Here is an 11,703-nt window from a genome sequence, read left to right as displayed (position 1 = left end):
ACATTATTGTACAGTAAAATTGTAATAATTATATAAAGCAAAGTACATAATTATTATGTAGGGTCTGACATCAATTTCTCTTCATTAGAGATTGGTAAAGCCTCTTTGCCAAGGATTGACTAAAGAACGTGTTTCTACTTTGATCTGTTTTTAGTTTTCCTTTCTTTTTTTAAAAAAAAAAATAACATCCAAGTTCTGTCTTTTATATGTGATTTACCCTAATAACTCCGCTGGCAATATTAGTTATTATTGCTTCTTTGATATTATAAATTTCATTAGTTATTAATCTCTGCATCTGAAATTGCTTAAAGCTTTGAATGTAAAATTTTAAAGTTTCATAAGCTGAATTTATTTTAAAAATAAATTTAGTTATTCCCTTTAGCATAAAACTGGCACATATATAACATAAAAATTTAAATAAGAAAATAACTATCCATTAGTCTACTAAACTGTATATTTCCTTTATGATTTTTAATGCATCTTTATGTACATAAAATTTCTAAGTCTCTGATGTCTGTTTTGTATCTTTTACCTTTCACACCAGAGAATGTGCAAGGCAGGGTAGAATTTTATTGAGTGACAGAAAAGTTCTCGATAGTGAGAGGTGACCAGAAATGGGTAGCTGTCTGTATGGCTGAGTCCGGGGTTATTATGAGCTTGGAATGGGGGCGTTCATGCGGATTGGTCCATGAGTGGTCTTGGAAAAAGCATCATTCAGTTCGTTAAAAGGCACTATCCAGAAGGAACCAATTCAGAGAGAGAGTAGAGTAGGTAAGACAGGGATAGAAGTTTTCACTCCAGTCATGGACTCTATCTGGAACTGGCAGCTCAGTCCTCAGGTTGAAGGTTGAGCCCTACCAGGGACCCGCTGCTGTCTGCCTTGGAATTTGTCGATCTCCTGTCGCTATCACCATGACTAAGTACTGGGTACCCCTCTCATAGCTCACAAATATTAACTTGGGTATCCCAGAAATGCCTTGGGAAACTTGATTCTTTTCCTGTATCCCGAGTTCTTAATGACTGAGATCTGCCTCATTCCTCTGTGCTCTCACTGACCATGTTTTCTGCCTGGAATCTCATGTTGCCTAGTAGCCTTCACCTCAAATGGCATTTTTCACTCCTGACCCCCTGATCCATCTGTTATCACTCTCTGATAATGATTAGCCAGCCACCTGGAGTGATCTTTTGGAGTTTCACCTATCCTAACTGTACTTGAGTAACCAGTTTGATTTTCATCTCCATTGAGATTCCTGCATTACTATTTCTTGAATGTCTTTGCTTCTGGTTTCCTTAACTCTTTCCCTAGGATAACTCAACTCTATCCTTGACACTGTGTTTAGAATGCTCCTTTTCTTGCATTCCTTCTAGTGCCTCTCACCAGTCTTTTGTGCAGAAATCAGTCTTTGGTACAAAAATCTGTTATATTGCTGGGTTTCATCTTCAATTTCTTCAATGTTCCTAATTTAAATGACAGCGCTAATAGTTTATCGTTCTGACTACTGAAAGTTGCTTTCTTTCAAAGGCATTTTTGTGTTTGTTTACTTTTGAGTAGTGAATCATGAACATTCATACTCACTGAGTAATTTAGCAAGACAATTCAATTTATTATTATCACCAGTTCTACTGATTCTGCAGGGTAATGGTGTTTTCTGACTTAAGTGATTAAAATGTTTTTCACTTCAAAAGCTTTTAGAAACATTTGTTTACTGTTACTTAAAAGACTAATTGTAATGTTGGGCTATAAATATGCTTATTCTTCAGACATTTTTTCTTCAGGGTAGTTGATTTCGTTATCTCTCAGTACTCTTGTGATTGCAATTAAATTGAAAGCAGTGTTATAAAATATACATTATTTTTGTAAGCTGAGATGATAGCTCTCAATCTTACCAAATACAAATTTTGAAAGCTGTAACATTTTTTAATCTACTTACATTTATAGGACTATAATTTTTGGACAAGCATATGTCTACATTATTCACATAACTATTATCTTTGTCAATACACAAATGAATAACAAAAGATAAAAGATCTGATTTACGTATCTAGTTATCAGAATTCAGTTAGGCTTAATAGCCTTTATCAGGAATAGCATAAAAGCCTGTAAGATGGTAATTTATTTAGGTTTGCATAGATGTGATAGAAACACAAAATGACAGTAGCTCAAATATGGTGAAGGTTTGTTTCTCATGAAAGTATGAATTTAGGTAATTCAAGGCTGTTATGGTAATCTGCAGATTTATTTGGTGATGTGGTCTTTATTCTAAAGTTTCAAAGTAGAGAGAGCTCCAAGAATTCCTCTTTCAAACAGTAAGATAAAGAAAATAGGGTCATCAGGGGCACAATCCTGTAGTTTAAGGACACGATCCAGACATTTTATACACCACTTCCATTTACATTTTCTTAGTGACAGCTTAGTCATGCAACCACACCTATTTGCAAGGGAGGGTAGGAAATGAAGTCTTTGTTCTGGGTAGCCATGTGCCCAGGAATAGCCATCAGTCTATGATAGGGTTGAAATGTGCTTTTATATAATATATTCTGTATGAATGTGAATTTTATTGCAGTGAAGTTCTTTAAGACAGTGGTACCCAAACATTTCTTCCAACCAAAAGTGAAATCCAACATATAAACTAGAGAAAGCTGAGCTACCTGATTAAAATGGTGGGTATAGGAATGCTACCTGTATCACGCATCTGCCTCTGCTCCCAATTAATCCAGTCTTGCAAAGGAGTTTGAGGTTTCTAGGCCTTCATGGACCAGTATATAAAACATTCCTTTATAGTTTTAAATAGGTATTGATGTGTAATAAGGAACATATTTTGACCACTGTTGAAAAATCAATAGGTATTGCTAAGAAGAAATAAAATAATTTTATTGAGAGCAAGAAACAACCTCAGATAAGATTCCTTCAACTTTTGGTTAAATAATTTATTTTTCAAATGATATCTATATGGTGATACCTGGGAGAGGCAAGTAATACTTTTTTTGTAAACAAATGCTCACAATATTATTTCTGAATCAGGAAGCCATTATTAATTTATATTCATCAAACTGCTAAGCAATGGCATTGTATTATATGTTTGAAATAACCAGATATTTTTAAAAGCTTAACTAATGACTTTTCCATATCAGTACCTGTGTCTGACTTTAGAATGTGTGTGTGTTTTTTTAAATTTTATCCTTAAAATAAGTCTGCAAGCATGCCAGGTAATGAGATTTTGTTAAGCCTAACTTTAAATCTTCAAATGCAATAAAGGAAGCCTTGCTTTTAAGGATATTTATAAGAAGTTTTATTTTAAGAAAGTAGACTGATTCTGTGCTTTGATCTACATCAACAGAGGATCATAGAGTTTTTGAACTGCATGCTGGAGAAGGACTTTAAGGACTAGGTCCAATGACCCATCCAATGTTACATGTATTTTCATACTAAAAGGCCCAAGCTATTAATGAACTGCACCACAGGGGGACTTCATTTAAGGGACACATACATTATCACTAATAATGTGATTTTGCATTTTCTGTTTCTTCATTACGTTTTTGAAAGATCACAAATATTATTATTTCCTTCAATACAGGCACAGGAATGACTTGATAAAGCAATTGTTAAGTTACTAAACCTACTTATATTTATTGTGCGAAAAGTGGCTGTTAATTGTTTAATTGTGGCCTGAGGGAAATTACTTGGAGATACATTTAATTTTGACTTATAGTCACATGAAAGGTGACCTCTAGACATGTCTGTAGAAAATGTGGAAACAAACACTGAAAAATTATTATGAACATTATATTTGTGGGGCTCCTTTTCATTCAGTCTATTAGAAGGTTTTCCAGCAAATAAATCATCTGAACAGCAATATAACTAGAGGTGTAGAACATAGCATCGAGTTCTGATATTAAACCAACCTGGGAGAGATAGAGTTTATATTACCTTTCTATTACTGCAGTAACAAATTACTGCAAACTTGGTGGCTTAAAACAATTTACATTTATTCTCTTACAGTTTTGGAGATCTGAATTCCAAAATTATCTTACTGGTTTAAAGTCAAGGTGTCGGCAGGGACATGCTCCCTCTGGAGGTTCTAGGAGATAATTCATTTCCAAGGTTTTCCCATTCCTCAGCTTGCGACCCCCATTCTACATCTTTAAAGTCAGACACATCAGCTACAGTTCTGCCCATACCACATTCATTTTACCTTCTCTTCTGTCTCCTTCTTCCACATGTAAGGACCTGTGTTAACATTGTAAGCACCTGGACAATCCATGCTATCTCTCTGTTTTAGGGATATTTGATTAGCAACCTTAATTCAACCTGCAATTTAATTCTCCTTGTAATTGGCCATGCAGCCTTACATATCCACAGATTCTGGGGATTAGGGTATGGGATCTTTCAGGGGATGTTATTCTGTCTATCTCAAGGTTCTAAGGCAATATTTCCAAGAATTTTACAGAGTTCTTAATTATATTATACATAGAGCTGAAATTTTAAGGAAGGAATAGTTTATTTTCTGGTTAGAGTAAAGAAGACAAAGCATTAAGTTGCCTTCTCAATATCTCTACTTAGCCAACACAAAATAGATTTTCTTCTCACTTGTCTCCTTACTTATAAAAACATCAACAGCACAGAGCAATAAAGTCAAATAAAAATCTCACTATGATAGAGTATTTGTAAAGAATTAGCAGTAAAAATCTAGGTGGCAAATTTACTTGTTACAATTACTAAAGAATATGAATTCTCAAATTTAGTAGAAATGCTGTCTTCATAGTCAAGGGCCTCAAGTCAGTTCTAAAATATTAATTTCTCTCATTAGTAATGTTCTTGTTTCCCTGAAAAAAAAAAAGTTAATGTTTATGCTGTCACATAATACTTTAGCATCTGCTTTTTTCATCCATCCCCCAAGGGTAAGAAAATTGTTAAGCTTTTTCCTCCTCTCTTGGAATTCATCAGTTACTGTCAATGAAGGGCCTGTGCTATGCACAGTAATGTGCTATGTTTTATGGACATGAAACGTAAAAGAGCAACAACACATGTTTCTTGCCCTGGAATATCAGTCAAAACAGTGGCGTTAATTTTGAGATACTAAAGACAGCATATGATCCTTCACATCATCACAATATAGTGACCCAATATCTCTGAAGGGAAAGAAAAAGGGCTTATATGAAATGTGCAAACATGAAGTATGATAAAAATGAAAATTAACTTTTGGTTTGCAAGAGTAAATATTGAAATATTTTCATTAAGTTAGAATTTTAAAACGCCAGTATATGAATCCAAACTCATTGATACATTTACTGTCTCTTTATCAGATCATGCCTCCTCCATGATGCCTGTGAGAGGAAAAGATACTACCAATAAAGGCTGCAGTCTGAGCTTTTACTAAGATATGGACATCCAATACACAGCCTGTTGGACATTTTTAAGTTAAAACAAAAATATTTTCCTAATTAGCTAGTCCAAATGAAAGTGCAGTAGTGTGAAAGACCTTCAAGAAGAGTTATTCCACTAACTTCCAAAGGTTATCAGATCTTGTTTTAAAGAGAGTTGAAAGTTATTATAAATTAGAATCATTCAAGTTTAATTTTGCTAATATTCTGAAATTGGGCACTATGCATAAATATCAGCACTAATAAACATACTGGCCTGGAGTTGGAGTCATGTCTTACATCCACATAACAAATTGATTTCGCCTTTTCTGAAAATGTATAATGTAAAATTCATATGTGTGGTACATATATACTAACACATCTCACCATTTAACAAAGCCAGACATCTCAATTGTAGGATAATACTGTTAGCTAATTATGACTGTAGGGAGAAACTTACTAAAATGAACTTATATTTACAAGGGAGTAATAACTTGTTTTCATGCCTTTGATTGGCACCATAGACTGACCTCGGTCTTCTTTCATTTTTTAAGAAAGCATTATTTGATCCTTGTTATTGACATTTTGTTTGCCACTCTTAGCAGCTGTTTAACAATTACATTTATAAACTTGACAGGAGGCTTTTAGAAAATGGCTGAGAGTCTGTAATTGGGAAATGTACTTCATTTTTCTTGCTTCTGTTTTCTCTTCATAATAAGATGTTTGTTCCTTGTAAATAACTTTCTTAACTGTGTTATTGCCTTGGGGAGTACATGCAGTCGCTCTGACCCAGGCAGCCTTATTATGGTGGTGGGGCCCTGGCGTCAGGCAATATTCAGACCAGCCAGGGCCCATTGTCACCTTCTTTCACTGCTGCTTGCCATGGCTGGAAATAAAGGGCAACAGTAATTACTTCTCAAAAGGTAGTTGCTGAGAAGGCATTTTTAAAGCGATATTGAAAGAAAGTTAATAAAGGCATACCTATAGAAAAACAGAATAGAATTTGGAAGACCAGAAGGAAGTTTATTTTAGAAGAGATACTGCCTCTCTTTCTTTCTCTTTCTCTGGTGCTGATCAGGATTTACTAGCTCTTTCTACTAGTTCCTGAAGAAGAACAAACTGTACATCACTCCCTTTTATGAAACACTACCTCATTTCTAACTCAGTGAGATATAAATTAGCATAGGTACACTTGAGGCTACAACACATAATTTTCTGAGGTTATTTGAAGGGTTACAAAAGAGAGAAATAGGCTACACATAGGATTGTCTTAGTCCATTTTGTGCTGCTATAACGTAATACCACAGACAGGATAATTTAGAAATAACAAAAGTTTATTGGATCATGGTTCTTGAGGCTGGGAAGTCCAACATTGAGGGGCCAGCATCTGGAAAGAGTCTTCTTGTGGCATCATCCCATGGTGCAAGGGGAAAAAAAGGGTGAGAGAGAAAGAATGAGAGAAGGGGGCAAACTTGTTTTTCATAAGGAACCCGCTCCTGTGATAATGATATTAATCCACTCATGATGGAAGAGCCCACATGACCTAATCACTCACTCTAAATACTATTTTAAGTACTTAGTGCAGTATTAAAAAGATTCCACCTCTTGATGCTGTTACAATAGCAGCTAAATTTCAACACGATTTTGGAAGAACCAAACATTTAAACCATAGCAGGGGTCATGATTATAATCCTGGTAGAATGCCTATGAATGAGTCAAACAGCCTCCTCTGCCCCATAGTGGGCAAGGCCAAGAGCCTCTCCACTGTGTCAGTGGGGGTTGTATTAGTTCTTGTGAATCCTATGGAAACCACAAGGGTCTTATTGCATGGGTTCAATGAGCCTGGTCTCCTCTCCAATTCATCAGGGTGTTGGGCTCACAGATGAAATAATACACCGTTGTGTCTTACTCTGCTGGGGCTGCCAGAGCACAACACCTTAGACTGGGTGGCTTAAACAACAGAAATTTATTTTTCACAGTTCTGGTAGCTAGATATCCAGATTAACATTGGTGGGATTGGTTTCTGGCGAGGGCTCTCTTTCTGCTTTTCAGACTGCTGCCTTCTTGCTTTGTGCACACATGACATTTCCTCAGTGTGTGCTGCTGAAGAGATTGAGAACAAGCTCTCTGATATTTCATTTTTGTAAGGGCACTAATCCCACCATACCAGGACCTTGCCTTCATGACCCAAATACCTTCCAAAGACCCTATGCCCAAATATTATCACACTGCGAGTGAGAGCTTCAACATATGAATTTTGTGGGGACAAAAAATTTAGTACATAACACTTTCCCTCAGATTGTTCCTAAGAAAACTTTGGGTGCTTGTAATTAGGGTTACACAATCTAAGCAAACTTCAAGATTACAAAAGATTTTAAAAGGGCCTGAGGGTACATTGCTAGCAAAAGTGACAAAATCTGGTGGTCTGATTCTTGTCCATTGAGTGAACAAGGAAGTATAGGATACTATCTATAACTATAGTTAACTTCTTTTTTATGTTTCACTTCCTCTCAAAACAATTCATAAGTAATTTGACAATATTATGAATTATGGATTCCAAACAATGATACTCTACTGGATGTAAAACTTTGACATACTAGATCATAAATTAGAAAAATATAGACTCTAGCCAGCTTTGCAGCAAGGAAACATTATTAGGAAGAAATGCATTAATCCATGTATTCTGCATAATATGCATATTAATTTTTATAAGATTTTAAGCATTAATATCATCTAAATTTATGTAAGTTTGTTTTACATCTGCACCTGTCGTGTTTATGGTGTATCCTATTTATTGATATTTTTAAGAGCTTTAGGCATAAGAGCAGTAGGCTGAAATTGTTAAATTACCTACTTGATATTAAAAATGTCAGTTGATTAATCAAAAGAATTCCATCTAATTAATTAAACACCATTACATTTAACCTTTTCAGCTTAGGAAAATCCAACCACATGTAGGGAGCTGGCTCCTACACCGTATTATCTGTAGCACAGTCTTACTTGTTAGGCTATACCCATATTGTCTTGTCTTATAGTTGGAATAGTTTTCCTCGGGGTGGCTAACAAGAAGAAATGGATTTTTTAGTAATCAAAGTCATACTAAGTAACACATTCTTCTTGAATGCATAGCCAAAGTCATACTTCTCTGTGTTTGCTGTACCTACTTCTGTTTCCTGATCAATAAATATTTCATCAGCAATGACACAAGTAATAGAGTTAAAAGAGCATGTTGCACAGGCTTTATATAATCAGTCCTCTAATACTACTTAGATTCTATTAGAATATTTTGTTTGTGTGATTTTTTATTTTTAATAGCTCAGAAAATACTACTTATATTAGGGGCATATCCTAAGTTTTAGAGATTGTAGGTAAGATATACAAATAATGTTTTGAAAATATTGGCCTACAAAGCCCAGAGGTTGTGCAAACCAGAAAGTCTGAATTAGAAGCAGATGTAAAATATTGTTGCCTAAACCCACTTAGTTATAGGAATGCAGTAACTATATGACTAAAAATTCATTTAATTCTTACAGTTTGGGGTCATGTAGATATGCTAAAGCATATATTAATAAAAATATAAGCAAACCAAAGCAAGATTCCAGTTGAAGAAGCAGAAATGGAAAGTTTTTTTGGATATATTATCATATAGAGAATGTCATTTTATAGACAAGGTATTTCTAATAAAAGTTTCATGATCCATAAGCCTTTTGAAATCAAGGATTAATTTTCTTTTTGTTTCCAGGCACTTGCTCAGTATGATTGTTGGTATTATTGATGACGTTGTTGTTAACTTATCTTGGCTTTCACTGTGGAAAATACTAATTTGTGTCTGGGATTCTACATACTTTTCCTTGTCTTTTTTTGTGTGCCGGGAAAGGGGAGGTGAGTCCTAGCCATACAAATAAGGATGAAAAGTTGTTGCCAAAAATAGCTATAACTCATTGACACTGAATACATGGAAGGCACTCTGCAAAACACTTAAATTACCTCATTTTATCTCAAGTATTAGGACCCATCTTTTGCAGATGAAGATACAGAAACAGAAGCACAAAGAGATCAAGTAACTTGCCACATAATACATATTCTATAAATTATAGTCAGGATTTGAACTGATGTTGGTCAAACTCCAGAACCTATACTGTAGAGTTTCACGATTTTGTGGCTAGGGCTTCATTTTAGGAATTGACAAACCAGAAAGAAGGTGAAAGTTGTTCAGCACAACCCCTTTAAGTGCATACTTAGGACATGTGAAAAATAGATCTGTCTAGGGAGATTCCATGCCTCAGGGCCCAGAATAAAGTACCTGAGGGACAATTAGCAGCTTAAAGCTTTCTTCTCTAATTCAAATCTTGGAAATTTAAGTTATTATATTCAGGTTAATACAGGTGGGAGATGTAGGATAATGCTAATCTGTAACACTGCTCTAAGAATAAAAATTTTCTGCTAACAAAGTGGCTAGAGGTAGTGAAATATTGATTTCTTTTTCTTTTTTTTCTTTTTTCTTTTCTTTTAATTATACTTAAAGTTCTAGGGTACATGTGCACAACGTGCTGGTTTGTTATATATGTATACATGTGCCATGTTGGTGTGCTGCACCCATTAACTCATCATTTACATTAGGTATATCTCCTAATGCTTTCCCTCCCCCCTGCCCCCCCCACAACTGGCCCTGGTGTGTGATGTTCCCTTCCTGTGTCCAGGTGTTCTCGTTGTTCAATTCCTACCTATCAGTGAGAACTTGCAGTGTTTGGTTTTTTGTTCTTGCGATAGTTCGCTGAGAAAGATGCTTTCAAGCTTCATCCATGTCCCTACAAACGACATGAACTCATCCTTTTTTATGGCTGCATAGTATTCCATGGTGTATATGTGCCACATTTTCTTAATCCAGCCTATCATTGATGGACATTTGGGTTGGTTCCAAGTCTTTGCTATTGTGAATAGTGCCGCAATAAACATACAGGTGCATGTGCCTTTATAGCAGCATGATTTATAATCCTTTGGGTAGATACCCAGTAATGGGATGGCTGGGTCAAATGGTATTTCTAGTTCTAGATCCTTGAGGAATCACCACACTGTCTTCCACAGTGGTTGAACTAGTTTACAGTCCCACCAACAGTGTAAAAGTGTTCCTATTTCTCCACATCCTCTCCAGCACCTGTTGTTTCCTGACATTTTAATGATCACCATTCTAACTGGTGTGAGATGGTATCTCATTGTGGTTTTGATTTGCATTTCTCTGATGGCCAGTGACGATTAGCATTTTTCCATGTGTCTTTTGGCTGCATAAATGTCTTCATTTGAGAAGTGTCTGTTCATATCCTTCGCCTACTTGTCAATGGGGTTGTTTTTTTCTTGTAAATTTGTTTGAGTTCTTTGTAGATTCTGGATATTAGCCTTTTGTCAGATGAGTAGATTGCAAAAATTTCCTCCCATTCTGTAGGTTGCCTGTTCACTCTGATGGTCATTTCTTTTGCTGTGCAGAAGCTCTTTAATTAGATCCCATTTGTCAATTTTGGCTTTTGTTGCCATTGCTTTTGGTGTTTTAGACATGAAGTCCTTGCCCATGCCTATGTCCTGAATGGTATTGCCTAGGTTTTCTTTTAGGGTTTTTATGGTTTTAGGTCTGAAATTTAAGTCTTTAATCCATCTTGAATTAATTTGTGTATAAGGTGTAAGGAAGGGATCCAGTTTCAGCTTCCTACATATGGCTAGCCAGTTTTCCCAGCACCATTTATTAAATAGGGAATCCTTTCCCCATTTCTTGTTTTTGTAAGGTTTGTCAAAGACCAGATGTTTGTAGATCTGTGGTATTATTTCTGAGGGCTCTGTTCTTTTCCATTTGTCTATATCTCCGTTTTGGTACCAGTACCATGCTGTTTTGGTTACTGTAGCCTTGTAGTATAGTTTGAAGTCAGGTAGCGTGATGCCTCCAGCTTTGTTCTTTTGGCTTAGGAATGTCTTGGCAATGTGGGCTCTTTTTTGGCTCCATATGAACTTTAAAGTAGTTTTTTCCAATTCTGTGAAGAAAGTCGTTGGTAGCTTGATGGGGATAGCATTGAGTCTATAAATTACCTTGGGCAGTATGGCCATTTTCACGATATTGATTCTTCCTAGCCATGAGCATGGAATGTTCTTCCATTTGTTTGTGTCCTCTTTTATTTCATTGAGCAGAGGTTTGTAGCTCTCCTTGAAGGGGTCCTTCACATCCCTTGTAAGTTGGACTCCTAGATATTTTATTCTCTCTGAAGCAATTGTGAATGGGAGTTCACTCATGATTTGGCTCTCTGTTTGTCTGTAATTGGTGTATAAGAATGCTTGTGATTTTTGCACATTGATTTTGTA

Source organism: Homo sapiens, chromosome 12, assembly GCF_000001405.40.
Source record: "Homo sapiens chromosome 12, GRCh38.p14 Primary Assembly".
Classification (NCBI taxonomy): domain Eukaryota; kingdom Metazoa; phylum Chordata; class Mammalia; order Primates; family Hominidae; genus Homo; species Homo sapiens.
Note: the sequence above shows the minus strand (reverse complement) of the source record.